A 26795-nucleotide genomic window follows, 5' to 3' on the forward strand; every position below is an offset into this window, starting at 1 on the left:
TCTAAACCGTTCATAGGCAGCAGTAAATGTGCTCAGACAGTTCTGATTATGGACTCTCCTAACACATTCTAATTCTCAAACAAATGGTTTTGTTGTCATTGTTTTTTCTGGCTCCAAATATACCCACTGTATCAGTCAGGGTCTTGGAAGAAATAGATGACACACTCAAATTGGGTAATATGATGACAGTGTAATAAACGGCAAACAGTATTTACAAAGATGAGGGCAAGATTTGGGAAAACCATCAAGGAACAGTGCAAGTGCCTCTGAGGCTAACAACAACAAGGTGCTGGCACTAGCCCTAGGCATCAAGGGGTAAGGGAGGGAGTGGTTCCCAGATCACCAGAGAGTAGCTGTAAGACAGGGCTGCCAGGAAGGAGTCATGGCCTTTCTTTGGTGGAGGGGTGCAGCCAACCTATGGGCAGGTGGCAATGAGAGATCCAGGGGGATAGACAGCTCAATTTCATGCTCTTCCCATTCCAGTCTTGAGTCCCTAGGAGTAAAGTCAGAGCCTTTCATGTGGCTGGGGAGGAATTATGGAGATTGGGTATACTGGATGTCATCCATTTGTCCCACCCAGACCTATTCTCCATCCTTCTCCATCTTGTCCTATGCTTAGCAAGGCTGATTCATATGGCTGGCATCCAAGCATTCTCCTGGGCTTTGGTTTCTGCTTGGGTTCCAACAGTAGGAGGATATTATGGATTGAATTCTATTCCTCTCCTCTCCCTCAAATTCACATGTTAAAGTCCTTTTTTTTTTTTTTTTGGCCGGGCCCGGTGGCACACACCTGAAATCCCAGCTACTTGGGAGGCTGAGGCACAAGAATGACTTGAAACCGGGAGGCAGAGGTTGCAGTGAGCCAAGACCACACCACAAAAAAAGATAAAAGTTTTTTTGTTTTTTTTTTTTTTTTTGAGACAGGGTCTTCACTCTGTCGCCCAGGCTGGAATGCAGTGGTGTGGTCACGGCTCACTGCAGCCTCAAACTCCTGGTCTCAAGCGATCCTCCCACCTCAGCCTCCCAAGTAGCTGGGACTACTGGAATTACAGGTGTGCACCACTAGCTTGGCTAATGTTTTCTGTATTATTATTATTTTTTTTTGAGATGGAATCTTGCTCTGTCGCCCAGGCTGGAGTGCAGTGGCGCGATCTCGGCCTACTGCAAGCTCCACCTCCCGAGTTCACGCCATTCTCCTGCCTCAGCCTCCCGAGTAGCTGAGACTACAGGCGCCCGCCACCATGCCCGGCGAATTTTTTTTATATTTTTCGCAGGACAGGGTTTCACCGCGTTAGCCAGGATGGTCTCGATCTCCTGACCTAGTGATCCGCCCGCCTCAGCCTCCCAAAGTGCTGGGATTACAGGTGTGAGCCACCGCGCAGGCCTGTTTTCTGTATTTTTTTTAGAGACAAGGTGATACTATGTTGCCCAGACTGGTCCCAAACTCATGAGCTCAAGCAATCCTCTGGCCTTGGCCTTCCAAAGTGCTGGGATTACAAGTGTAAGCCACCACACCCAGCCAGATGTTGAAGTCTTAACTCCCAGTACTTCAAATACGACCTTATTAGGAAATAGGGTCATTGCAGATATAATTAGTTAAGATGAGGTCAGGGCCCTAGTTCAATATGATTGGTATTCTTATAAAAAGAGAAAATTGGACACACATACACACAGAAAGAAAGCCAAGTGAAGATGAAGGCAGAGAACAGGGCGATTCTTCTATAAGCCAAGGAATGACAAAGATTGCCGGCAAACCACCACCAGAAGCCAGGAGAGAGGCATGGAACAGATTCTTCCTCACGGTTCTCACACAACTCTCATGACACCTTGATCTGGAACTTCTAACCTCCAGAATTGTGAGACAACCAATTTCTGTCATTTAAGCCAGTTTGTGGTACTTTGTTACAGTAACTCTAGCAAACGAATATAGAGGATATCAGGGGATGGGCTACACAAGTCACCTATACTTGCCGGCTTCCCGTTCTCCCTATTTCATTCTTTCCGCAACTCCTCCAAAATGGATCTCAAGCACCCACTTTCCTGATCCTGCTCTCTCCAAAGTCATCGGTAATTTGATTTTCAATGGCCAAATCTGACCCTTTCTGTCATCATTCCACTTGACTACATATATTAGGGTATCTCCCACTTCAAGATCCATGTCTGGATAATTTCCATTGCCTTCCTTCATTCATTTATTATTATTATTATTTTGAGACAAAGTCTCCCTCTGTCACCCAGGCTAGAGTGCAGTGGCGCGACCTCGCTCACTACAACCTGCGCCTCCCAGGTTCAAGCGATTCCCCTGCCTCAGCCTCCCAGGTAGCTGGGATTACAGGTGTGCACCACCACACCTGGCTAATTTTGTACTTCTAGTAGAGACAGGGTTTCGCCACATTGGCCCGACTAGTCTTGAACTACTGACTTCAAGTGATCTGCCCGCCTTGGCCTCCCAAAGTGCTGGGATTACAGGAGTGAACCATGACAACCTGCCCAAATCCTTTATTTTTAAATGTACAAATTCCCTGAGGCTATACCCTTTATCCTTCTCTATAGCTACCACCAGAAGTTGCAAATTATTGCCATATCCCCCCCCTCAGATGTTTTATTTGGTCCTTCCCTACACAGAAACCCCACAGGTACCACAATGCCTAGCAGATGAAGTCCAAAGTCTTTAGCTTAACATTTAAGACCCTGACCAACTTGACATGAGACAACCTTTTCTATGTTTTCTGGGAATTCCCCACCTCTAACCTAAGCATATCCAATTCCTTATTTTCCAAGGTAATTGGAAATAGAGAATGCAAAGGCTTCAAGTCAAAGATAATAACATTATCTGTAAGCATCGGAGTGGACTTTAAGCTAATGACTGAAAATGATTTTTCCAGCCTCTTTCTGGGACAGTATAGCGTATTGTTTAGATTGCAGGGATTAGTCAGATAGTTTGAATCCTGGGCTCCCCTACTTATTATTGGCTGCATGCCTTTGGGCAAGTTTCTAATCTTTCTGACCCAGTTTCTTTTTTCTGTAAAGGGAAGATGGGGTATCTATCTGCCTTATGGGATTAAGGATTGAACTCGATAATGTATGTAAACTTTTTTTTTTTTTTTCAGACAGAGTATCGCTCTGTTGCCCAGGCTGGAGTGCAGTGGCTCGATCTCGGCTCACTGCAAGCTCCGCCTCCCGGGTTCACGCCATTCTCCTGCCTCAGCCTCTCGAGTAGCTGGAACTACAGGCGCCCGCCACCAAGCCCGGCTAATTTTTTGTATTTTTAGTAAAGACGGGGTTTCACCGTGTTAGCCAGGATGGTCTCGATCTTCTGACTTCGTGATCTGCCCGCCTCGGCCTCCCAAAGTGCTGGGATTACAAGCGTGAGCCACCGCGCATGGCCTGTAAATTGTTTTAACACAGTAGTTAGATGGTCCATAAATGGTACCATTATTACTTTTATGATTGCTGCTCCACCTCTGAGCACATTCATACAATTCACTCAAGTCATTATTAGAGCACTAGATTGAGTGCGAGTCAGACCTGGATTCCCACAAACTTCTTTGTATGACCTCGGGCACATCCCTTCCCTGGGCCTCCGTTTCTCCATCTGTAAAATATGGATTTGTTGTCGGGGTGGGGAGGCTGCACCACGCACAGGTTAGACTAATGGATCTCTAAGGTCCTCACATCTTTAAAGCCCCAAGGGGATAAGCCACAGTGCCTCCTGTAGGGCAGTCTAAGCTTATCTTCCAGATAGGCAGGTTTGAATACCGATCCTTTTTCTTGACCTTAAGGAATTCATTCACCCTTTTCAACCTCATTTTCCCTGTTTGTAAAACAACAGCAAACGAGACAAACACACGTTACTTCCTTTCTAGCAGGGTTCCTACCCGGCGCCAAGCAAAAGTGGAATGTACCCTAAGTAGCTCTGGCCTTCTTCCTGCTCCCAAGCTTCCCAATTCCGTCCCCTGCCCCGCTGCCGCCCGCGGCTCTCCTTCCCCTTCTAGGAACGGCTCAAGCGCCTTGGGCACTCCATCGGGTTCTGCACCGAGTTCTGCATCATAAATACGACTCTCGTGTAGGATTTAAGTGTGAACTTCTGCAGGTTCTCGGACCCTGAAGCACCCGGGGCCAGACATTCCGAGCTCGCGGCGGTGGAAGGCACGCAAAAGGGCGAACCGAGACGACTCCAGGACGCTGAGGCAGCGCAGGCCCCACCCGGCCCCGCCCTGCCCCGCCCTGTCCCGGCCGGCTTTCCAGTACTAGTCCTCTGGCGCCGGCTCCCAGCCCCTCTCGTACCCTTCAAATCGCGCTCCGCCGCTAGACTCTCGTGATAGCTGAGACTTTCCCCGGAAGGCCCGCCCCCTTCGCCGGAGAGGCCAATGGGCTAGGGCAACGGTTGCGACGGTTGGATTTTGAAGGAGCCAATAGGCGCTCGGAGCGGAGAGTTTAAGAGGCGTAAGCCAGGCGTGTTAAAGCCGGTCGGAACTGCTCCGGAGGGCACGGTGAGAGGTGGTGGGGCTGAGCCGAGGTGGGGCCGTGGCCAGGGGGAGGGGGTGCTAGGCCGGAAGGGGCTGCAGCCGAGGGTGGCCCTGATTTTGTGGCCGGCCAGGAGCGAAGGGGTCCCTTTCTGTCCCCTGAGCACCGTCGCCTCCTTTCCTCCAGGGCTCCGTAGGCACCAACTGCAAGGACCCCTCCCCCTGCGGGCGCTCCCATGGCACAGTTCGCGTTCGAGAGTGACCTGCACTCGCTGCTTCAGCTGGATGCACCCATCCCCAATGCACCCCCTGCGCGCTGGCAGCGCAAAGCCAAGGAAGCCGCAGGCCCGGCCCCCTCACCCATGCGGGCCGCCAACCGATCCCACAGCGCCGGCAGGACTCCGGGCCGAACTCCTGGTCAGTGAGGTGCCAAAGGAACTGAGTGAGAGCAGCCTTCATACTTTCTCCCTGGGGAGCCTGGTCAGACTGTCTTCTCTTTCTCCGCCCCAGGCAAATCCAGTTCCAAGGTTCAGACCACTCCTAGCAAACCTGGCGGTGACCGCTATATCCCCCATCGCAGTGCTGCCCAGATGGAGGTGGCCAGCTTCCTCCTGAGCAAGGAGAACCAGCCTGAAAACAGCCAGACGCCCACCAAGAAGGTATGTGTCCCAGAGGGGCTTAAGGCACGGGACCTGACTGTTCTTTGGATAATACCATCTTGCTCCTTCACTACCCTTTATGCCAGGAACATCAGAAAGCCTGGGCTTTGAACCTGAACGGTTTTGATGTAGAGGAAGCCAAGATCCTTCGGCTCAGTGGAAAACCACAAAATGCGCCAGAGGGTAAGACCCGAAGTTCCTGGTTCCTGGAGGGAGGTGTCAGTTCATCTCCAGGGCTGAGCACAGATATCTGTCTCCTCTTCCTATCTAAGATTGAGGGCAAGGGAGGTGTTGATTTTCCCAGCGTCTAGACTCACTCCGTTGCCACAGGTTATCAGAACAGACTGAAAGTACTCTACAGCCAAAAGGCCACTCCTGGCTCCAGCCGGAAGACCTGCCGTTACATTCCTTCCCTGCCAGACCGTATCCTGGATGCGCCTGAAATCCGAAATGACTATTGTAAGTGCATCCTTATCCTCGCCTCATGCATGGAGAAAGAGGGCCTGGGACCACACAAACAAGGAAGCTCATGCTCTTCTCTCCACCTCTGACAGACCTGAACCTTGTGGATTGGAGTTCTGGGAATGTACTGGCCGTGGCACTGGACAACAGTGTGTACCTGTGGAGTGCAAGCTCTGGTGACATCCTGCAGCTTTTGCAAATGGAGCAGCCTGGGGAATATATATCCTCTGTGGCCTGGATCAAAGAGGGCAACTACTTGGCTGTGGGCACCAGCAGTGCTGAGGTGCAGGTGAGACGTGTCCAGTGCTGTCATTCTCACCAGTCCCAATGGGCTTGCACAGCTGGAGGATATTAATGCCAAGTCCCAATCTCTGATCCTAGTGGGCTTCTCTCTCTAGCTATGGGATGTGCAGCAGCAGAAACGGCTTCGAAATATGACCAGTCACTCTGCCCGAGTGGGCTCCCTAAGCTGGAACAGCTATATCCTGTCCAGGTCAGTGGTTTTTGTTGGTCTATGGTAGTCTGATATTTGCCCACCCTCCCCTTGACTGTACACCCCTGAACTGAACCAGCTCTGGCTTGCTTGCATTTGGTGCTGCCACAGAACCTGATTCCCTTCTTTCCTCCTCCAGTGGTTCACGTTCTGGCCACATCCACCACCATGATGTTCGGGTAGCAGAACACCATGTGGCCACACTGAGTGGCCACAGCCAGGAAGTGTGTGGGCTGCGCTGGGCCCCAGATGGACGACATTTGGCCAGTGGTGGTAATGATAACTTGGTCAATGTGTGGCCTAGTGCTCCTGGAGAGGGTGGCTGGGTTCCTCTGCAGACATTCACCCAGCATCAAGGGGCTGTCAAGGTGAGTAGGGTTGGGCTGAAGCCTCTGCAGACCCTCACCTATAATCTGGGGACTGTTAAGGGGAGAAGGGATGGTAGGATTGGACTGGGTTAATCTGTGACCCCTAGAGCTCCTTGTCTGGCTCTAGTACCTGCTGACCCCACCTTTATTCCATCTAGGCCGTAGCATGGTGTCCCTGGCAGTCCAATGTCCTGGCAACAGGAGGGGGCACCAGTGATCGACACATTCGCATCTGGAATGTGTGCTCTGGGGCCTGTCTGAGTGCCGTGGATGCCCATTCCCAGGTAATCTTTTGCCTGTTCCTGCCTCTCCCACATGCATTCTTACCGGGCAACTACATTCACTCCAATGGCTTCACCAACTCTATGCCCTGGTGATTCCCAAACTTCTAACTCAGCTCTCACTCATGAGCTTCATTTCCAACAGTCTGTGGCTATCTCCAATCCTATGTCCTATAGGCACCACCACCTTGATCTGTCCCAAATTAACCTTGTCACTTCCCCTTGCCTCCCTGAAATGTGTTCCTTCCTGTCTCACATTGCTTTGGAATGGCAGAACCTGCTCAGAAATCTGAGAAACCTCCTAGAATTTTTCATCCTCCTCACCAGGATCTATCAGTTTTACCTCAAAATATCATTGACATCTGTCCCCTCCCCTCAGCCTCATCCTTCCAAGTGGAGGCCCACTACAATGGCTTCCTCACTGGTGTCAAGCATTCTTTGTTATCTCCTGCAATGCATCCTCCATGCTGTGGTCTGTTATACTGTACTGTCCTTAAACCTGTGATGGCTTCCCATCACTTATGGCATATAATCCAAATCCATTAGAAAGATACTTGAGGCTCTCTCCTTCCACTCCCCCCACATTCAGCCTTCACTGTAGATATGGACTCTAGAGCCAGATGGCCCAAGTTAAAATTCTGGCTCTGTCATCTACTAAACTTGAATGTGACCTTTGGCAACCTATTGAACTTCCTTCTGATTGATTCCTCATCTATCCAATGGATAATACAGATGCTCCCTGATTTAAGTCCCAGTAAACCCACTGTAAAGGTAAAAAATGGTTACATCAGCGAGTGTCTATAATTTGCCTCTCAAGGAACTTTTGTATGGACTATGATCATTCAACTCTGAGTCTGGAGCATGTGGCAGGGTGCCTAACACTAGAATGGGCTCAGTTCTGATTTAAGTAGCCTTGGCTATATGTCATGCCCACACCAGCTCCTCTCCACAGGTGTGCTCCATCCTCTGGTCTCCCCATTACAAGGAGCTCATCTCAGGCCATGGCTTTGCACAGAACCAGCTAGTTATTTGGAAGTACCCAACCATGGCCAAGGTGGCTGAACTCAAAGGTAAGTGGCTAGGTGAAAAGCCGGACATAAAAGGCCACATAATGTATGACTGAAATGTCCAGAATAAGCAAATCCAGAGAAAAAACACATTAATGGTTGCCAGGGGCTGAGAGAGGGTAATGGGAAATGTTGAAAATGTCTTAGAATTAGTTTTAACAGTTGTACAATTTTGTGAATATACTAAAAATCACTAAACTGTACACTTTAAAAGGATGCATTTTATGGTGTGTGAATTATATCTCAGTAACACCATTGAAAAAAAAGGGAGGAGGCCAGGCACGGTGGCTCACGCCTGTAATCCCAGCACTTTGGGAGGCTGAGGCGGGCAGATCATGAGGTCAGGAGATAGAGACAATCCTGGCTAACATGGTGAAGCCCTGTCTCTACTAAAAAACACAAAAAATTAGCCAGGCGTGGTGGCAAGCACCTGTAGTCCCAGCTACTCGGGAGGCTGAGGCAGGAAAATGGCATGAACCCAGGAGGCGGAGCTTGCAGTGAGCCAAGATTGCGCCACTGCACTCCAGCCTGGGTGACAGAGCAAGTCTCAAAAAAAACAAAAAGGTAGGTGGGTGGCCCAGTGCCTCCTTTATGGCTATGGCTGCATCAGCATTCGTATGTACTGTTCTCATTTGCTCCAGGTCACACATCCCGGGTCCTGAGTCTGACCATGAGCCCAGATGGGGCCACAGTGGCATCCGCAGCAGCAGATGAGACCCTGAGGCTATGGCGCTGTTTTGAGTTGGACCCTGCGCGGCGGCGGGAGCGGGAGAAGGCCAGTGCAGCCAAAAGCAGCCTCATCCACCAAGGCATCCGCTGAAGACCAACCCATCACCTCAGTTGTTTTTTATTTTTCTAATAAAGTCATGTCTCCCTTCATGTTTTTTTTTTAAATCTGTTTCAGCTAATGCCTTTCTTCTTTCATGACCTATGTCCCAGCAGCCTTCCTAGGGGCTCTACTCTACTGGGATCAGAGAGCTAGATATGTCCTGTGGGAGCCTGGACCATCCATCCCTCTTGTTTGTGGACAGGGCTAAGCGTGTTGTGTTCCCCCACCTCCTCTGTTCACATACGTATACACACAGCCTCCGTGGTTTCCTCTGTCACTTTTAATTAAGACACAAGTTGAGTAAGCAGCCTCCACAGGCTGTATTCCCAGGCCCCCGCCCACCCTGACCTTTGGCCCAGAAGCTACTGCTTCAGTGTGTGGGGTGGAGGAGTGAGACTGGGTCCACAGTGACATTATTGCTGACCTCTTCTGTGTGAGGAAAAAGGCCACGAGACCCTTTGTGGGGCCAGCCCTGAGTGCTCCTCTCCCAAGTTTTAAGGCAGGGAGGGGGAAATAACTGTACAGCCCTTTTAGCCCCCAGCTCTGGAGTGGCAGACAGCAATGAGGCCACATCCCTGGAGCTGCCCGGGGGAAGTGGGTGAGGAACCAAAGCCGTGGTCCCTGTAGAGCAGCTGTGGGGAGGGGAGGGCCAGTCCCCTGCTCAGTCCTGACCACATAAGCCTTGGTCACAGGTGTAGGTGGAGAGGGCACTGACGGACACTGCCCTAAGGTGCAGTCCTGAGGCACTTAGGTGGGCGCCTATCTAGGCCATGCTTCTCAGTTGGCCTTGACCTTGGCAATACCTGGAGCTCCATTTTGCTGAAGTGCACGGGGCAGCCGCTTGCCCTTGGTATAAGAGTGATACCAGAAGTTGGAGAACAGCATGAAGAAGATGGTGCCATACATCCAGATGAGGTGAATAATGACTGGGTACTGGTAGTTACAGCTGGACATAAAGTAGTACTGGGAGATGTGCAGTGAGACCAGGACAAACTGGATCTAGGATAGAGAAAGACCAGGGTCAGAGGGAATAGTGAGAGGACTAGAGGGGAAGAGGGGGTAGAGAAAGAGACAAACGTTGAGTAGGGAGAGATGGGGTCAAAGGTGAGACAGACTGGATAAAGGCAGGATCCAGGCTAGGAATGTGGGGGGATGGTTATAGGTAAGTCAGGCCAAGCCCCTCACCAGCTGAATGGCTGTCATGTGCTTTTTCCACCAAAGGTAGGGTTGTGCCACAGGGCCAAAGGCAGATAATCCGTAGTACAGGTACATTATGACATGCACGGAAGAGTTTATCATGGCATGGAAAGAGCCCATTCCTCCTGTGAGTGGACAATAAGACAGGGTCAGCAGAGTCCAGCCTCTGGTGCCCACCCTTTCCCATAGTGGCCTTCACCACTCACCCGGGGCAATCTTTACCCCCCACCACCAGCTCCAGGGAAGCACAGAGTGATGGAAGACATGTAGGAAGGTCACCTGCCCGTCTTTCTTTCGGAGAATAAAGATCACCTGAGAGAAGAGTGAGGGAAGGGGATTCAGAACCTGGGCTTCTCCACCTCATTCTCCCCTCAAGTTCTCACATCTCATATAACTACTCACTGTGTCCATCAGCTCAATGAACTTGGAGAAGAGGAAGAGCCAGGCCACCCGAACCATCTGCAAGAAGTTGGGATAGCCTTAGGACCTCATACACTATTCTAAGAGCCTCCCTAAACTGGGCCTTGAGCACAGGCCCCAAACTGGTCATATCTACCAGGTTGCTTATGACCTAGCCCCAGCCCCTACTTACCCTAAGTGCCTCAGGGCTGTTGGAATAGTCCACAGGGTCACAGCGCCAGGTATAGGTGCTCAGCCAGCCCGACATCAGGAACTGGGAAGGGATGTGGATTAGACCACCAGAGTTCTCCCTTCCCAGCCATCCCTCCCCTTCGCTAGCTGAGGACATGGATCTGAACCTCTCTGGAAAGGAGAAATGCCATGCTCTGGCTCTATGGCCTGCTCCTTATCCTGCTGACAGAAATTAAAGCCCGGCATCCCAGGGGCCCACCTCATAGACAATGTAGAGGGAGAGTGCCACCAGTGAGAAGTTGTAGACAATCATGAAGCCACGGAGCTGGAAGGGCTTCCGATTAGCCATGATGCGAGGCCCAAGTGAGAGAACGAAGTACACGTAGGTCAGGAGAATGGAGGTCATTAGCAAGGGGGACCCCATCAGAGGGTAGCCCTGGATCCGGGGATCTATGAATAAGGGTCAAAGGAATCAGGAAGAGTCACAGGGTTCGAAGGGTCTTCATTTGAAGGGTCTACAGACATGAGGTCAGGTCACAGGATCAAGGGTTTCATAGGAACTCTCCATTAGAAGACAGCCGTAGATCCAGGGATCCCGGGAAAGAAGGAAGGAAAGGGCTGGTGGATAGCGTCTTACCTGCGTGCTTCATCACCTCTTGGTACAAGTTCACAACAGCCTCCATCCTGGCTAAGGACTCTGGGGAGGTACAGAGGGCGGATGTCAGACAGATCCCACTGCACACCCCCATCCCACAGAGATAAGACACAGAACCAGACAAGACACCTGCAATGCCTCATTGCAGAAAGGACAGAACAGTGAAAGGAAGGAATTACTGGGAACTAGGGGGAGGAGGCAGTTTGGTTGAGGCATCTGCTCCCCACACATCCTGCTTGCCTGGGAAGAGCTGTTCCACCCTTCCTCTCCACACCTTACTCTCCTCTCCTCTCCACAGTTTTACTTCCTGGCCTCCCTTCCCCTCTTCCTCCACAAGATAACTCTCAATTCCAGGTCTCTTACTGGAGAATCTTACCTTCTCACCAACAGGGAGCTCTTGAACTCCGTCTCCCTTCCTCACCCGAGTCCCTCACCTCCCCAGCTCTGGGTCTTTCTTCTCTCCAGGGATTCTCCCCTTCAATCTCTCCTCTCCTGCCCTCTCCTCTTCCCATCCCTCTGGACCCTTCCTGAACTCTCTTCTCCCCAGGGTCCCTCCTGTCCCTGCCAGGACTCTCACCTCTCTGGGCCCTTCTGTCCCTCCAGAACCTTATCCTCGGATTCCTCCTTGCCTGTGCTGGGACACTTATGTCCCTACGATTCTCCTCTGCCTTTCCTGGGACTCTCACCTCCAGCCTCTCCTCTCCAGCGCTCTCCTCTCTCCTCTCGCAGAGCCCTTCCTCTCCTGGAGCCTGGCTCTTTGAGACTCCTGCCCCGGCGGCTCCACCTGTCTGACTAGATCTGGCAGCAGCCCCGCCCTCTGCCCGCCCCTGCTGTACTGTGCAGGGGGTGGAGGGTGGGTCCGGGCCACAGGTCAGTGCCTGGGGGAGCAGGACCCACCAGGATTGGGAAAGCCAAGTAAAGCCCCAGACTCGCCACCCACCCACCCACGTGGGACCAGCCTGATGAGCTAAGGTCCTAGATTCTGAGCCAGAAACCTCCTCTGACCCCAGCCCCAGCCCCAGCCCTGGCCCAAAGCACTGCTGAAAATCCACACCCAGCATCCTCTCCTAAGCCGGCCATAACTGCTCAGTTTGTCCTACTTCAGAATGGGTACAATCACTCTTCCCTTCCTGGGAAGGGCAGGGAAGCCAGTGGCATGTGAAGGGGTTGGGGAGTGGGGGAGGTCGCAGGAATCTTCCCCTCCCTCAGGGAGGGGCCCCGTTGGGCTAGGCCCCCTCCCCCTCAGGGCCTGAAGGAATGTCGGGGGAAGGCTCCCAGGGACACAAAAGCCTCTGGCCAGACCCAGGAGAGCATGGTACTGACAGTCCCTGAGGGACAAGGCATTCTTGGAACAGAGCAGGGCCCAGGGCAGCAGGTGCCCCAGACTCCCTGCTTCCAGAGAAGCACCTCTGCAGATGCCAAGTGAAGAGGCGCACCTCTGACACCTCCCTGCCCCGCACACCCCTCACCTCCAGGAGGCCCGGCTTCTTTAGGCCCACCGTGGTCAGGCCCCAAGCCTGCGGTCCACACCCACCTCTCACCTAGCTCTCCACCCCCAACAGCGAAGGTGCCACGCCGAGGGCTGGCACACACGTCTCCTGCCTGACACACCACGCAACACCTCCGTGGGCTGACACGCATGGCTCCCGGCCCTCACGCAGCTCGGCCACCGCCCAGGCACACGCACGGGCTCACCCGCGGGGCCACTCACACACGTGTGCGCGCTGCCTGGCCACGCTCGGATCCCCTCCTTACTTGCTCCCCCACCATCGGGCTTGCTGGCCGCCCATCGCCGGCAGGGCCCAGGCCGGGGCGAGGGCGCCAACACAGGTTCCTCCCTGACACATGGGAGCCAGCCAGCCTGTTATCTCTCAACCACCAGCCCCCAATATCAACCCACACACCCGGCAGGCCAGGAGGGACCAAGGCTCCTGGGAGGACCTCTCCCCAAGCTGCAGGAAAATCTGGGTGTGTCTCTCGTCGGGGAACTCAGCCCGTCCCTTCCTTCCTTTAAGATGGATGGAAGGGAAAAGGTGCCTGGCAAAGTTAGGGTAGCGGGGGGAGGGAGGGGAGAGGAGGAGGGAGAGAGGTAAATGCAGGGGTGGTGGAGGAAGGCCCGGGTGTAGGCAAATGGGGGCCAGAGACGGGGGTGTGGGGGAGGGAGGGTGCTGGCGAGGCCCGGCCCCAGGGAGCTGGGACCTCCCACCCACTGGCCCCGGGAACACCCTCGCCCACAGCCTGGGCAGGGCAGGGCAGGGCTGGGCCGGGCTGGGCCGGGCTGGCCAGGCAGGGGGCGCCGGCACGTGGAGAGTCCGTGGAAGGTCCAGACTCACCCGTAGGGGCCAGGCGGGCAACGGCGGAGCGCTCGGAGGGAGCAGGGCCAGAGAGAAGTCCCCGGGGCCAGCCTGCCTGCCTGCCACTTCCTCATCTGCTGGGCCGACTTTCTGTCACCAGAGGGGGAGGGGCGGGCCGCGCGGGGGGCGCCCGCTGATTGGGCGGCCGGCAGGGCCGGAGGCCGGCAGCGCAGGCTCGGCCGGGGCGGGGGCAGGGGCGTGCCGCCGGGTCCCAGCAGGAAGCGCCGCGGCCCGGGCTTCCCACCCCTTCCCTCGCCGCCCGGGCCCGCCCTGGCCAGTTGCAGCGGCCTGGCCACCTCAGGAGCACGCTGTCTCTTCCCGACGTGCAGCCCGGGGCCCGGCCCTGTCCCCGGGTGACTGCTCCCCGGCAGGACTGCACATCTGTGGCGGCAGGCCCAGCTCAGGGCTCGGGGGAGGTTCGGCCTTGCCTTCAAAGAGCTCCCTCTCCTGCAGGGCGAGCGCAGAGCGGCGGGCGAGACCACACTGCGTGTGCTGAGGGCGCACTGGTCTTAGCGGGAGGGAAGCCTCACGAGCCTGTACACTTGGAGGAGCCCTAAGCGTTAGGATCTGCTGCGAGGGCTGCCTGGAACGGAGGTGAGAGGATACAAGTGGCCCGGGGCAAGCATAGTGAATCACTGGCTAATCTGGCCTTCGAGGTAGTGAAAGGAAAAAAGGGAAATGAAGCTGACTGTGGCTGAATGTAGTAGGTCTTGAAGGCCAAATGGGGCGATCTGATTTTTATTCTAGAAGCAGAGGAGAAACTAAAGATTTTTTTAGGAGACTATATTCAAGCTTGTATCATTAGTTCATCAGACGTTTATGGACCACCCACCGTCCGTGCACTCACGGGGCTTGCAGTCTATCTGGCTGAATCACTTTGGCAGCCAGTGTGAGGAGGGCACAGAAAGGAGACCAGGTGAGAAAGCCAGCCTGACCAAAGAAGATGTGGCAACTGATGGGATTGGAGGAGGCGGACAATGTCCTCCAGACAGCTGGACTGGCTCTCTATATATTTATTTATCTCTTCTACACCTCCAGCCCCCACCTCCACACTCACTAACTGGACTCAACTAGTGGGGGCAAAGGACAGACTAGATTTTAGTGAAATGGAATTTCTACCTCCAGCGGCCCCTGGAACAGTAGCACACAACGATCTAACAACTGCTTGTATGATTGGATGGTGTAAGTGCGGACAGAATTAGGGAATTTGGGCTACTCTGGGCACACTGCTTATGGGGCAGCCCTGCTCCGCAAGGAAAATAAACACATTTTTTTAAAAAAAGGCCGGGCGCGGTGGCTCACGCCTGTAATCCCAGCACTTTGGGAGGCCAAGGCAGGCGGATCACGAGGTCAGGAGATCGAGACCATCCTGGCTAACACGGTGAAACCCCATCTCTACTAAAAATACAAAAAATTAGCCGGGCGTGGTGGCGGGCGTCTGTAGTCCCAGCTACTCGGGAGACTGAGACAGAATGGTGTGAACCCGGGAGGCAGAGCTTGCAGTGAGCCGAGATCGCACCACTGCACTCCAGCCTGAGCAATAGAGCAAGACTCTGTCTCAAAAAAAAAAAAAAAAAAAAAAAAAAGGCCGGGTGCGTTGGCTCACGCCTGTAATCCCAGCACTTTGGGAGGCTGAGGCGGGCAGATCACCTGAGGTCAGGAGTTTGAGAACAGCCTGGCCAACATGGTGAAACCCCGTCTCTACTGAAAATACAAAAATTAGCCAGGCATGGTGGCGCAAGCCTGTAATCCCAGCTACTCGGGAGGCTGAGGCAGAAGAATTGCTTGAACCTGGGAGGCGGAGGTTGCAGTGAGCCGAGATCAAGCCACTGCACTCCAGCCTGGAGTGCAGGGCAAGACTCCGTCTCAAAAAAAAAAAAAAAAGGGAATTCGGAGACCAGCCTGGGCAACACAGTGAAACCCCATCTCTACTAAAATACATTTAAAAAAAAATTAGCTGGGCATGGTGGTGTGCGCCTGTTGTCCCAGCTACTTGGGAGGCTGAGGCAGGAGAATTGCTTGAACCTGGGAGGCAGAGGGTGCAGTAAGCCGAGATCATGCCACTGCACTACAGCCTGGGCAACAGAGCAAGACTCGTCTCCAGAAAAAAAAAAAAAAAAAAAAAAGATGTTCATAAATGGTAGGATAGGCTGGGGATGGAGGCTCACACCTGTAATCCTAGCACTTTGTAAGGCTGAGGCAGGCAGATCACTTGAGCTCACAAGTTCGAGCCTGGGCAACATCGTGAGACCCCGGCTCTACAAAAAATACAAAAAATCAGCTGGGCATGGTGATGCATGCCTATAGTCCCAGCTACTCTGGAGGCTGAGGTGGGAGGATGACTTGAGCCCAGGAAGTGGAGGTTGCAGTAAGCCAAGACTGCGCCACTGCACTCCAGTCTGAGTGATAGAAACCTTGTCTCTAAATAAATAAATAAATAAATAAATAACTCCACAAATGGTGGGATATAGCTATGTGAAAGTTTAGTCCTAGAGTTTAGGTAAGAGGTCTGAGCCAAAGTACAGATATGACCCAGCCTATTAGTACCCATCCTTGAAAGGAAATGGCAGAATTCACTGTTTAAAAGGCTCCAACACTAAGGTCCTAACTGATCTGGTCCCTGCCTTGTCCTCTCATTCTACCTGTGACACTCTCCTGGGCCCCACCCAGTGCTTTAACCATTCCCCGAGGATGTCAGCATCTTTCATACCCCCCTCAACCCTCAAACCTTGCCCCCTGGCTCAGCACAAGGAACAGTCAGGTCTCCTAGGCAGTAAATCACTCCCTCCTCTTGCTCCCACAATTGTAATTATATGCTTATCTGCATCGCAAAACTATAAGCTCCTCTCAGCATGGGCCATGTTTTGTCATCTCTGTATCTCCAGCATCTGGCCCGTTATCTGGTACTCAGTTGGCCCTCTACCTTTGTTGAATGAATGTTAGTGTGAATGGGATGACGTGGGAAAGGAAGAGAGGCCAAGGGAACCAGAGTCAAGTGGAGAGGACAATAAGAATTAGAAAGCCTTTCCATTTCCCTTGGGAACAGTATCACTGAGTCCATAAATATTTATTGAAAGCCTGTGTTCCAGGTATACTCTAATGACTTCAGGTTCACACCTGACTCCAAAGCCATGAGTTTAAATGTTCCAATTAGTACCTGTGTGACCTTATGTAAGTTGCTGAACCTCTATAAAATTGGAGCAATAAGAGTTCCTATCTCATAGGATTGCTGTAAAGACTGAAAGAGATAACACATGTAAGGTGTTCAGCACTGTTTCTGTCTCAACATTTAATGGACAAGGTGGGAAAGTGCCCAAAGTATCAGGAAGGTACATACTTATATGTAGATTCATGAGCATTCTTTTAATAATCTTTCCTAAACAGTTACTGTGTGCAAACCACTGTTGTGAGAGCACTATTGAGAGATTTTGGATTAAATGTCCATCATAAGAGTGCACTAGAGACAAAGCAGACTATTATAGATGATGAAACTGTCCCAGAGGCCAAACACAGCAGTGATAGGAAACTTCAACTGTGTTTTTATTTACCTGGACCACATTTGTAAATGACCATGGCAGGCCCTCAATAAATGCTGACTGACTACATGAATGAACATGCTCAAAGACAGTTGTTCAGCTCTTGTCCCAGGTTCTATCATACCCCTCTCCCCCTTCCTGAGTTTCTTTTGTTCAGTTTGGCAAACAGTGAATGGATGTTTGCCAAATATTTGAGGATGCTCAAATATCTGATATAGACCACTTAGCCCCAAATCCTACCAAATGGCATCTTCATGGCCCTGGGGTTCCTGCAAAACACTCAGTCTGATGGAAAAGACAGACATATAGATGAGCAATTATATATGTGGTGAGTGTTCCCATAGAGATAAACCCAGAGGGTTATGAAAGCACTGGGGTGCGGGGGCACCTTAACTCAGTATGGAGGCTAATTCTTAAAGGTGATGCAAAAATGACACTTAATTGAGCATTAAAGGTCACTTTCTAGGCCGCGTAAGGTGGCTCATGCCTGTAATCCCAGCACTTTAGGAGGCTGAGGTCGGTGGATCACCTGAGGTCAGGAGTTCGAGACCAGACTGGCCAACATGGTGAAACCCTGTCTCTACTAAAAAATACACAAAAATTAGCCAGGCCTGGTGGCAGGCGCCTGAAATTCCAGCTACTCAGGAGGCTGAGGCAGGAGAACCACTTGAAGGCAGGAGGCGGAGGTTGCAGTGAGCTGAGGTTGTACCACTGCACTCCAGCCTGGGCGACAAGAGCGAGACTCCATCTCAAAAAAAAAAAAAAGAAAGAAAAAAAAGGACACTTTCTAGGAAGCAGGGAAAGGCATTCTAAGTGGAGCGAAGCATGTATGTGAAGGCATAGAAGCAAGAGATGTGGCGGGTTTGGGAACGCTAAGTAGTTTGGTATGACTCCAGTTCAGAGGGCATATGGGAGGGCAAGAAAGGTAGGCATGAGTCAGTTTATGAAGAGCCTTGTATGCCACAGCAAGAAGACTGGATTTTATTCTGTATATGTTTTTCAGCCCTGGCTGCAACTAGAATCAACTGGGGAGCTTTTAAAATATCAGTGCCTGGCTCTCACCTCCAGATTGATGCTAGATGGTTGTTCTTAATGGGAAGAGGCCAAAGCATGTTTATATGCTGTATGGAGAGTGACAATGGGATCCAGCATACACATGAAGAGAGTAGCCTCTGGCTAAGGAGAACGGAAATAGAGTAAGTTCGTCAGTGGAATGGGAGGAAATTGAGGGAGTTTTGTCTAAAGGAGTCTATTTTTTCCTTCAGTCAGATGTTAGGTAGTTGCTGAACATGGGGGATGGGTAGGTGATGGGATAAAGAATTGTAGGGAAGTGGTTCACTCTGGAGTAACTGATGATGGAATGCTGGGAAAGCTTAGTGAACAGCTAAGTGGAAGGCCCCACTGGGTGGGAGACCATAAGGAGTGTACCAGTTTAGAAGGCTGTGATGTTTTCCGCAGAGCTAAGTGAGTGGGAGTCAGGAGAGCAGAAATAGGACCATTTGGGATCTGCAGGGAAGCGAGATGGAAGGCCTTGCTTGGGAGAGGGTTCAGTGAAGGCTGAGTAGATGAAACTAAACCAAGGGTACACTGATAAACTGGATAAACTGAAGAGGTCAAGGAACTCATAGGTTTGATAAGGATGAAGGCCAGGTGTAGTGGGGAAAGAAAACCCAGTCCAACAACTAAAATTCCATCCATTTCATGGAGCCTTCCTGACTAATGGGAAATGAGGTGGCAACTTCCCCCAGGTCCCACCCTGTCTGACTCACTCCTCACTCACTGCTCTTCAAAGGGCCCGTCTCCATCCTCTTTCTCAAGAAGAGAAACCATGGATGTTGTTTCTAAAAGTTCAGCCTGAAAACCACTGTCTGTATGAACTCAATTCCCATGATTTTTTGAGGCTTTATATGTTTCAGCACAAATATTAAATGGAGGTAGGATAGAGAAGCAGAAATGGCAATGAGGAAAAAAATGGAAAAAGGTATGCCTGCATGTTCATGAGTGAGTCAGCAGAAGAGTGGAGGGAAAAGACAATAAGACACGGGGTATCAGCTATGAATAGGAACTGAAGGTCCAGATTGAAGGGCAACAGAACTGGCAGGTGGAGATGGAAGCAGCCTCCTGGGGGCTGTGTCAAGCTTCTCCATTCTCCATCCTGTAAAGGACAAAGGACACTTCCTACACAGTACCCACACAGAAGAGCTGATGGGAGGGTTAGCCTGTGAGGACGAGAGAGTGAAGATGAGGGCAAAGGGTTTGCCAGTTAATAATTCTGCATGTTTCTTGGGCCCCAGCCAGCTAGCTGGTATCCTCTTCCAAAGCAGGCTGGGACCTTGGCTGAAGGAACCAGGGCTGGAAAGACATCGGGCTGGCAGAGGGGAGAGACTGCATGCAAACATTCTTTGTATCTTCTGCAATTTGAGAGTTGGCCTGGAACCCTGAAAGTCAGGGCCAATGTCTGATCCATCAGTGGGTAACCAGTGCCTACATACTATGGGTATCATTCACTGTTCATTGAACTGAACAAAAGAAACTTAGGAACGGGGAAAGGGATGTGATAGAACCTGCAGGAAAAGCTCCGGAGAGAAAGGAGAGGCTTTTTGTTAGGGGGCAAACCAGGGGATGCTATCAAGATGGAGGAAAGGGAGTTAGCAAGATCCAGAAGACACGTGAGAAGGACCAAGAGGGGAATGAGAAGCTTATAATTCTATTAGTACTTTTTCTGGCAAGGATGAAGCCAGCTGCATTCCCTATGTTCGAATGTTTCCATCCTGTCAGGTAAGTTCTATGATCACCTCTTAATAGATAAAAAAAAAACTGGAATCAGAGGTTGAAGGCTTTGCTCAAGGTCACAGACCGGGTAAGGTGAAAGCAACACAGGTGTTTCAGGCTGAGGAAAAAGCACAGACAAAGGAATGGATATAGGAAAACACAGGACAGGTAGAGAATTGCAAGGGATTCTGTTTGGCTAAAGCAACAGTCCCCAACCTTTTTGGCACCAGGGACCAGTTTCGTTTTGTGGAAGACAATTTTTCCAAGGATGGGGGCTTGTGGTGATGTGGGGGGCAAGGGGCAGGGGGATGGTTTCAGGAGGAAACTGTTCCACCTCAGATCATCAGGCATTCATTAGATTCTCATAAGGAGTGCACAGCCTAGATCCCTTGCATGCACAGTTCACAATAGGGTTCCCACTCCTATGAGAATCTAATGCTGCTGCTGACCTGTCAGAAGGCGGAGCTCAGGCATTAATGCTTGCTGACTTGCCCACCACTCACCTTCTGCTGTGCGGCCTGGTTCCTAACAGGTCACAGACCAGTACTGGTCCATGGCCCAGGGGTTGGGGACCCTTGGGCTAAAGGATATGGCTAACGAAAGGCCTTCATATGATAGAAGGTTAATGAGTGGCCCCAGATCATGAAATGTTTTGAATTTTAAAAAATGAGTTTACTTTATATTGGGGTGTCTCTGAAGATTTTTTTTTTTTTTTTTGCGACAGAGTCTCACTCTGTCGCCCAGGCTGGAGTGCAGTGGTGCGATCTTGGCTCACTGCAAGCTCCGCCTCCTGGGTTCACACCATTCTCCTGCCTCAGCCTCCCGAGTAGCTGGGACTACAGGTGCTCGCCACCACACCCGGCTAATTTTTTGTATTTTCAGTAGAGACAGGGTTTCACTGTGTTAGCCAGGATGGTCTCGATCTCCTGACCTTGTGATCCGCCCGCCTCGACCTCCCAAAGTGTTGGGATTACAGGCGTGAGCCACCACGCCCGGCCCGTCTCTGAAGATTTTAAGTGGCAGGCTGATATGATCCCCACTGTATTTTAAAAAGACAAACTTGGGGACGGGCATAGTGGTTCACACTTGTAATCCCAACAATTTGGGAGGCCAAGGTGGGTGGATCAATTGAGGTCAGGAGTTAGAGACCAGCCTGGACCAACATGGTGAAACCCAATCTCTACTAAAAATACAAAATTAGGTGGGTGTGGTGGCGTGTGCCTGTAGTCCCAGCTACTTAGAAAGCTGAGGCAGGAGAATCGCTTGAACCTGGGAGGTGGAGGTTGCAGTGAACCAAGATCATACCACTGCACTCCAGCCTGGGCGACAGAGCAAGACTGTCTCAGAAGAAAGAAAGAAAAAAAGACAAACTTGGCAACAGCAAGGTATATTATCAAGAGGAAAGCAGAAGAAGGCAGGGATATCAGCTGGGAGCCAGCTCAGAGGTCTGGGTGTGACATAACAAAGGCCTGACCTAGAAGAATGGCAGTGAGAAGGAAGAAAAGGGGATACAACAGAAAGAGGACCCAGAACTGACAGCAGATGTCCAGATGGATAACTCAGGTGGGACAGGATGAAGAAAATGAATGCAGTTTGGGACATCCTGAGTTTGAGGTGAGATGGCCCATTCAACAAGCAATCTAAAACACAATACTGTGCATTCAGGAGAAAGGACAGAGCTTGAGAAAAAAATCTGAGGATTCTCTATACAGAGGTGAAACCACACAAAGTGGACTGGAGTGTGGTAGCTCTAGTTTTGGCTGTATTCAGAAACTTTCCCATCCCCTGCTTTCATTTCCTTTGAGAAATTCCCTACCCCATTGGCTCATTAATGCTGGTAGTCTCCCCTACTTCCTCCCAGTCCAAGCTCCTAATGGCACATAATCCAAGCAAAACCAGAGCTCTCCCATGAGATGAGTTCGAATAATGTAGAGTGGAGAAATGCAGAGACAGAGTCCAGACAACATTTGAGCCTCTGAGCCCACCTAGAGGCATCCACATAACCCAAATACAGCTGGTTCTCTTTTTTTTTTTTTTTATTAAGCCAGTTTAATTGTAATTTTGATTAGGCTAGTTTAATTGTAATGTCTTGCAATCAAAACAGTCTACTAGACCATCACATAAAAATGAGATTGCTCAGGAGAAAGTAAAAGAGACTAACAGTTACCACTTGAGTGTTGACTATTTGCCTGAAGGGCCTTTTTAAGAAGCTTGGACTTTATCTGGTAGAAAATTAAGAGCTACCTAAAGATTTAAATTTAACTTTAAATATGTTTTGTTGAAGGTGCTCTTTGAAGTTGGTACTATAATCCCATTCTATAGAGCTGGAAACTGAGGTTCTTGTAAGTGAAGTAACTTTCTAAGGCCACACAATGGATAAGTGTTCAAACCAGGATATGAACTTGAAAATAAATAAACTGCAATAGAACTATGGGTGCTAGAATGGAAGTATACAGGGCACAGGAGAGGTACAGTTTAAGAATGGTCAAGTGTACAGGGGAGGAAGTAGTAAAGACTTTACAGGAGTAGGTGACATGTGAACTGGAAGGATGAATTGTTTATCAGGTGAATAAGGGGTTTGGAGCAGGAAAGAGAGAGGGTATTCTGCGTAGGGCAGAGCATGTATAAGCCATGGAGGTATGAGGCAACACCTGACTCCCAGCTATTTCCTTATGGCTACAGCTGAGAGCACTTATGGCAAAGTGGCAAGAGTCGTAGAGTATGCCATGACAAAACAAAGTCTGAAGGACTGGTGGTCAGTGTGGCGGGAAGAGAGGCAAGCATGGCACCAAAGAGCTCCGGTTTTGATCTCCAGTGAATTACACACAGCCACCCACGAAGAACTGAGCCCGACCTAGCAAGCACAGACAAGCGAGGCAAGAATTCATCACAACTGCACAGAGAAAGCTATGTGTGGTGAAGGGCCTCCTTTAGGGACTGACTGTAGAAAAACTATGGAACTGAGTGGTTAGCTAGTCTAGACAGGGAAGAGATACAGTTCAGAAGGCATGAAAAAGAACATTTCAGGTGAGAGGTCTTATCATTTGGCCTCAAGTCAAAAGAACACAATTTCTTAATGAAAGAACGTAGGCAACAACTAGGTGGGAGAAATACAATTCACAAAACTAGATTTGAAATTGACTTATCATGTCAGGTAATCCAATGTAAAAATGCTCCAGTACCTACTCCACACATTACTAGGGAGATACCATGGGGGACGAAATATGCACAAAAAGCGTCTCCTGAGGCTAAGCTCCTGAGACATGAGCACAGGGGAGCTGCAGAGGGAAGGAGAGGTTATGACCTCTTAGAGGAATTGGTCAATCGTTTTTTTCAAGCAACAATCACTGAGAGCAGAGAGTTCCAGATGTTACCCTATGAATAGATAATATGTATTGTGCTTCTACTGTTGTCAGCATTATCCTAAGCACTTTATATATATTAACCCATTTAAACCTCACAGCAACCCTATGAAATAGCCATTATTATCGACCCCAGGAATAAGGAGGCAAAGGCATAGAGAAGTGAACTAACTTGCCCAAGGCCACACAGCTGGTAAGTAGCACAGCTAGGATTTGAACTGGGGCAGTCTGGCACGAAAACCTGCTTTTTAAATCAAAATGTTATTTTATACTACTTCTCCAAAGACAAATCATAATAGTAATAATAGTAGCACTACCATTTATAGTGTTTATGATATGGGCTAGATGCTATAGTATGCCAGGCACACACATTATCTTGCCTAAGATCACTCAGCTCTCAGGTGGAAGAGCTGGATTCAAAGTTCAGGATGCTTGAATCTGGGAGACAATAAAGTGCACCAGGAGCTAGAATAAGTTTGTACAAGGTACAAATGTGGAGCATAAAAGAGGAGGTAATTAATCTTACCTGGTGGGAGTGGTATTGAGTTGTGGGTTACTGGAAAACTTCACAACTTCACACAGGGGTGACTTTTTTTTTTCTTTTTTTTCTTTTTTTTTTTTGAGACAAGGTCTGGCTCTGTTGCCCAGGCTGGAGTGCGGCGGCACAACCACAGCTTACTGCAGCCTTGACCTCCCAGGCCCAAGCAATCCTCTCACCTCAGCCTCCCGAATGGCTGGGACCACAGGTGTGTGCCACCACACTTGGCTAATTTTTTAGTAGAGACAGGGTCTTCGTGTGCTGTCCAGGCTGGTCTCGAACTCCTGGGCTCATGCAGTCCTCACGCCTCAGCCTCCCAAAGTACTGGGATGACAGGCGTGAACCACTGCACCGGCAAGAGTGGGGTGACTTGTGAGCTGATTTTTGAAAGATGATTGGGTATTCATCAGACAGAATGATAGGGCAGTGTTCCATGCAGAGGGAACAGTGGGAATAAAGGAATGGAGGTTTGAAAGAGCTGTCACATTCAGGAAACTGCAAGCAATGTTGATGGCTTGGGAATTGAGTGGGTGGCATGACAATAAGAAGGAGGCAGGGGGCTGCATCACACAGAATCTTACTTGCCTTTCCAGAAAATCTGAGCTATTTTTTAAGTTTTTCCAATGAAGTAAATGTAATGGCCAAAAAGAGTAAATAAATATCCCTAGGGAATCTGGTGGCTTAGTCTGAAGCTGTTCAGACTAGTAGGAATTCTTTGAAGACTATTTTTTCTTAATAATGCATGCATGCTGGCTGGGTGTGGTGGCTCATGCCTATAATCCCAGCATGTTGGGAGGCTGAGGCAGGAGGATCACTTGAGCTCAGGAGTTTGAGACCAGCTTGGGCAATGTGGCAAAAGCAATCTCTACCAAAAATTAAAAAATTAGCCTGGTATGGTGGCGCACGCCTGTAGTCACAGCCACTTGGGGGCTGAGGTGGGAGGATCACTTGAGCTGGGAGATGGAGGTTGCAGTGAGCCAAGATCGCACCACTGCACTCTAACCTGTATGACGCAGTGAGACCGTGTCTCAAAATAAAATAATAATGCATGCTAAATGTGTGTTCTCTGTTTTAAATTACTCTTAAGTAAAATGAACATTCCAGGATGATTTTACCTTGTAATTTTCAGTATGCCTGGCACACCCACCCCTACCAACCCACCCACCAGGTATGTTGTCCATATGCCCCCATCTCTACCAAAAATACAAAAATTAGCCAGGTATGGTAGCGAGTGTCTGTAGTCCCAGCTACTTGGGAGGCTGAAGTGGGAGGATCGCTTGAGCCTGAGAGGCGGAGGTTGCAGTGAGCCAAGATCGCGCCACTGCACTCTAGTCTGGGTAACAGTGAGACAGACCATGTCTCAAAATAATAAAATAACAATACATGTTAAATGTGTATTCTGTTTTAAATTACCCTTAAAATGAACATTCCAGGAAGATTTTATCTTGTGATTTTCAGTATGTCTGGCACACCCACCCTACATGGGGAGTAAACTATCAAAAGGCTTTTAATCAACGGAATAATGTGATCAGATCTGCAGTTCAGAAAGACCTATCTGGCAGCCTTTTGGAAGACAAGTTAAAGTGGGCAGGACTGGAGATAAAGGATTTTAATCAGGGGAGTAATGTGATCAGATCTGCAATTTAGAAAGACCTATCTGTAGCCTTTTGGAAGATGAGTTAGAGTGGGCATGGCTAGAGATATGGAGTCTGAACAATACTTTTAGTAAGAGAGGCCTAGAGCCTAAACTGTAGGACAGGGTGGATGGACACTGGGGAGACAGAATTGGTAGGATTTAGTATCTGATTAGGTATGAGGGGGTTGGGGACCCAGAGGGAGAATAATTTAGAATGGTTTCCATATTCCTGGCTTAGAAGAGAAACAGGTGTGTAGGCTAGAATAACTGGATTTGGACATTCAACCAGCTGTGGATCATACAGGTAGAGATATCCATCAGGAATCTGCAGCTCAGCAAAGAGGTCTGAGCTGAAAATAAAACTCGCTTAAATTATGCACATAAAAGTGGTGGTCACAGAAAGCAGGTAGAAGAAGAAGAAAAGGGGGTTAAGGACAAGTCCTAGAGAATAACATTTAAGAAGCAGGAAGAAGTATAAAAGTCCAAAAGCTGCAGAGAAGGAATGGCCAGAGAGGAGGATGAACAAGGAGAGCATGTGCCATAGAAGCCATGGGGGAGAAAGAGACTAAAGGAAATGGTCAGCATTAAATGCTGCAGATACATTACTATGAGGATTGAAAAAACTCTGGATTTAGCCATTAGGTCAACAGTGATCTCTGAGTTTCTGAGGAGTGGTGGAAGTAGAAGCCCAAACACAGGGGTTGAAAAGTGAATGGGAGGTAAAAGAAACAGTGATTCTAAGCACTTTGTTTCAAGAGCATGGCGCGAGTGAGTCAGTGAGAGGGGATGTAGGGTTAAGAAGGATCTTTTAACATGGAAGAGACACTAAAATGGCACTATCTAAGGCCATGAAATGTAGCCCAGAGAAACTGGCAAAAAGAATGAAGGATAGACTGGGTGTGGTGGCTCACACCTGTAATCCCAGCACTTTGGGAGGCTGAGGTGGGAGGATCGCTTGAGCTCAGGAGTTTGAGACCAGCCAGGGCAACATAGAGACCCTGTCTCCATTAAAAATAATAATAATTTAAAAATTAGCTGGGCATGGTGGCACATGCCTGTGGTCCCAGCTACTTGGGAGGCTGAGAGGTGGGAGGATCACTTGAGCCTAGAGGACCACCTGAGTTGCAGGATCACAGTGAGAGGTGATTGTGCCACTGCACTCAAGCCTGGATGACAGAGTGAGACCCTGTCTCAAAAAAAAAAAAAAAAATGAACAAAGGATATCTACGTAGGGAATGTGGGCAAGAAAAGATGAAGAATCAAAATGACCACAAACTAGGGAAATTAGGGTGAGAATTAGGGAAAGCAGTGGAATGGCAGAGAAAACATAGGAAGACGAGCATCCCAAGGCACTTATATTTGATTCAGTAGGAAAGGTTATCTTCATGTGGAAGAAGTATAATTTATTGCCTATACTGGAGGAGTCTCTTTGGTACATGTATCTTGCCCAAGGAGAGAGAGATGTGTGAGGGGGAGGGCGACTTCTAACACACAAGGTATGTCAGAACTTGTAACTTGTGATAACTTTG

At 49.9% G+C, this 26795-nt stretch overlaps 2 protein-coding genes, 2 long non-coding RNA genes and 1 other non-coding gene across 14 annotated transcripts, besides 15 other annotated features; 2 read left to right on the plus strand and 3 right to left on the minus strand.

Annotated features, from left to right (window-relative positions):
- Positions 171 to 4160, minus strand: CDC20-DT (CDC20 divergent transcript). Of its 5 annotated transcripts, none has more exons than NR_183649.1 (4): positions 4104 to 4160; positions 3529 to 3595; positions 3290 to 3387; positions 171 to 493 (listed from the first exon to the last, which is right to left on the minus strand). It is a non-coding gene; the product is annotated as a CDC20 divergent transcript (long non-coding RNA). The 5 variants fall into 5 exon arrangements; NR_183650.1 differs by having other exon boundaries at positions 4037 to 4160; NR_183646.1 differs by having other exon boundaries at positions 3906 to 4160.
- Positions 3237 to 3745: an enhancer, noted in NCBI's record as "H3K27ac-H3K4me1 hESC enhancer chr1:43823421-43823929 (GRCh37/hg19 assembly coordinates)". NCBI's record gives its function as "activates a minimal SCP1, AML or CMV promoter by ChIP-STARR-seq in naive H9 embryonic stem cells {active_cell/tissue: H9 hESC(naive)}" and the evidence as "EXISTENCE:reporter gene assay evidence [ECO:0000049][PMID:30033119]".
- Positions 3857 to 3916: an enhancer, noted in NCBI's record as "active region_916". NCBI's record gives its function as "activates an Ori minimal core promoter by ATAC-STARR-seq in GM12878 lymphoblastoid cells {active_cell/tissue: GM12878}" and the evidence as "EXISTENCE:reporter gene assay evidence [ECO:0000049][PMID:35858748]".
- Positions 4207 to 4316: a silencer, noted in NCBI's record as "silent region_779". NCBI's record gives its function as "represses an Ori minimal core promoter by ATAC-STARR-seq in GM12878 lymphoblastoid cells {active_cell/tissue: GM12878}" and the evidence as "EXISTENCE:reporter gene assay evidence [ECO:0000049][PMID:35858748]".
- Positions 4207 to 4764: a biological region, named in NCBI's record as "NANOG-H3K27ac-H3K4me1 hESC enhancer GRCh37_chr1:43824440-43824948".
- Positions 4256 to 4764: an enhancer, noted in NCBI's record as "NANOG-H3K27ac-H3K4me1 hESC enhancer chr1:43824440-43824948 (GRCh37/hg19 assembly coordinates)". NCBI's record gives its function as "activates a minimal SCP1, AML or CMV promoter by ChIP-STARR-seq in naive H9 embryonic stem cells {active_cell/tissue: H9 hESC(naive)}" and the evidence as "EXISTENCE:reporter gene assay evidence [ECO:0000049][PMID:30033119]".
- CDC20 (cell division cycle 20) lies at positions 4468 to 8690 on the plus strand. Its single transcript, NM_001255.3, has 11 exons — positions 4468 to 4493; positions 4654 to 4883; positions 4977 to 5125; positions 5212 to 5308; positions 5456 to 5584; positions 5680 to 5876; positions 5986 to 6080; positions 6220 to 6448; positions 6607 to 6732; positions 7682 to 7799; positions 8438 to 8690. Exons 2-11 carry the CDS (start codon positions 4703 to 4705, stop codon positions 8614 to 8616), a joined length of 1500 nt encoding a protein of 499 aa, NP_001246.2. The 5' UTR covers positions 4468 to 4493; positions 4654 to 4702; the 3' UTR covers positions 8617 to 8690.
- Positions 4507 to 4656: a silencer, noted in NCBI's record as "silent region_780". NCBI's record gives its function as "represses an Ori minimal core promoter by ATAC-STARR-seq in GM12878 lymphoblastoid cells {active_cell/tissue: GM12878}" and the evidence as "EXISTENCE:reporter gene assay evidence [ECO:0000049][PMID:35858748]".
- A 197-nt stretch (positions 8691 to 8887) lies between the features above and the next one.
- Positions 8888 to 13498, minus strand: ELOVL1 (ELOVL fatty acid elongase 1). 5 transcript variants are annotated; one of them, NR_046117.2, is made up of 8 exons: positions 13402 to 13498; positions 11051 to 11110; positions 10673 to 10863; positions 10415 to 10495; positions 10225 to 10281; positions 10102 to 10134; positions 9811 to 9947; positions 8888 to 9624 (listed from the first exon to the last, which is right to left on the minus strand). NR_046117.2 is itself a non-coding variant. In NM_022821.4 (8 exons), the coding sequence occupies exons 2-8, from the start codon at positions 11094 to 11096 to the stop codon at positions 9403 to 9405; spliced, it is 840 nt and encodes a 279-aa protein (NP_073732.1). In that variant the 5' UTR covers positions 11097 to 11110; positions 13402 to 13498; the 3' UTR covers positions 8888 to 9402. The 5 variants fall into 5 exon arrangements, 4 of the variants coding, with proteins under 4 accessions (NP_073732.1, NP_001243328.1, NP_001243331.1 ...); NM_022821.4 differs by having other exon boundaries at positions 10029 to 10134; NM_001256399.2 differs by lacking the exon at positions 13402 to 13498 and adding an exon at positions 12973 to 13201 and having other exon boundaries at positions 10029 to 10134.
- MIR6734 (microRNA 6734) lies at positions 10135 to 10202 on the minus strand. Its single transcript, NR_106792.1, has one exon. It is a non-coding gene; the product is annotated as a microRNA 6734 (primary transcript).
- Positions 11798 to 11887: a silencer, noted in NCBI's record as "silent region_781". NCBI's record gives its function as "represses an Ori minimal core promoter by ATAC-STARR-seq in GM12878 lymphoblastoid cells {active_cell/tissue: GM12878}" and the evidence as "EXISTENCE:reporter gene assay evidence [ECO:0000049][PMID:35858748]".
- Positions 12205 to 12939: an enhancer, noted in NCBI's record as "H3K27ac-H3K4me1 hESC enhancer chr1:43832389-43833123 (GRCh37/hg19 assembly coordinates)". NCBI's record gives its function as "activates a minimal SCP1, AML or CMV promoter by ChIP-STARR-seq in naive H9 embryonic stem cells {active_cell/tissue: H9 hESC(naive)}" and the evidence as "EXISTENCE:reporter gene assay evidence [ECO:0000049][PMID:30033119]".
- Positions 12940 to 13674: an enhancer, noted in NCBI's record as "H3K27ac-H3K4me1 hESC enhancer chr1:43833124-43833858 (GRCh37/hg19 assembly coordinates)". NCBI's record gives its function as "activates a minimal SCP1, AML or CMV promoter by ChIP-STARR-seq in primed H9 embryonic stem cells {active_cell/tissue: H9 hESC(primed)}" and the evidence as "EXISTENCE:reporter gene assay evidence [ECO:0000049][PMID:30033119]".
- Positions 12940 to 13827: a biological region, named in NCBI's record as "H3K27ac-H3K4me1 hESC enhancer GRCh37_chr1:43833124-43833858".
- Positions 13148 to 13827: a silencer, noted in NCBI's record as "silent region_782". NCBI's record gives its function as "represses an Ori minimal core promoter by ATAC-STARR-seq in GM12878 lymphoblastoid cells {active_cell/tissue: GM12878}" and the evidence as "EXISTENCE:reporter gene assay evidence [ECO:0000049][PMID:35858748]".
- LOC112268225 (uncharacterized) lies at positions 13699 to 24686 on the plus strand. Of its 2 annotated transcripts, none has more exons than XR_007066048.1 (2): positions 13699 to 22757; positions 23194 to 24686. It is a non-coding gene; the product is annotated as an uncharacterized LOC112268225 (long non-coding RNA). The 2 variants fall into 2 exon arrangements; XR_007066049.1 differs by having other exon boundaries at positions 13699 to 21344.
- Positions 14268 to 14347: an enhancer, noted in NCBI's record as "active region_917". NCBI's record gives its function as "activates an Ori minimal core promoter by ATAC-STARR-seq in GM12878 lymphoblastoid cells {active_cell/tissue: GM12878}" and the evidence as "EXISTENCE:reporter gene assay evidence [ECO:0000049][PMID:35858748]".
- Positions 14767 to 14952: a silencer, noted in NCBI's record as "fragment chr1:43834951-43835136 (GRCh37/hg19 assembly coordinates)". NCBI's record gives its function as "represses an EF-1alpha promoter that drives an FKBP-Casp9 reporter gene in an ReSE screen in phorbol 12-myristate 13-acetate-treated (for megakaryocytic differentiation) K562 erythroleukemia cells {active_cell/tissue: K562(+PMA)}" and the evidence as "EXISTENCE:reporter gene assay evidence [ECO:0000049][PMID:32094911]".
- Positions 18116 to 19315: an enhancer, noted in NCBI's record as "P300/CBP strongly-dependent group 1 enhancer chr1:43838300-43839499 (GRCh37/hg19 assembly coordinates)". NCBI's record gives its function as "activates an origin of replication core promoter dependent on BRD2, BRD4, P300/CBP, MED14 and CDK7 cofactors, with strong dependence on P300/CBP, by STARR-seq in HCT116 cells {active_cell/tissue: HCT116}" and the evidence as "EXISTENCE:reporter gene assay evidence [ECO:0000049][PMID:35650434]".
- Positions 23821 to 23989: a silencer, noted in NCBI's record as "fragment chr1:43844005-43844173 (GRCh37/hg19 assembly coordinates)". NCBI's record gives its function as "represses an EF-1alpha promoter that drives an FKBP-Casp9 reporter gene in an ReSE screen in K562 erythroleukemia cells {active_cell/tissue: K562}" and the evidence as "EXISTENCE:reporter gene assay evidence [ECO:0000049][PMID:32094911]".
- Positions 24687 to 26795: the final 2109 nt, after the last annotated feature.

Source organism: Homo sapiens, chromosome 1, assembly GCF_000001405.40.
Source record: "Homo sapiens chromosome 1, GRCh38.p14 Primary Assembly".
Classification (NCBI taxonomy): Eukaryota; Metazoa; Chordata; class Mammalia; order Primates; family Hominidae; genus Homo; species Homo sapiens.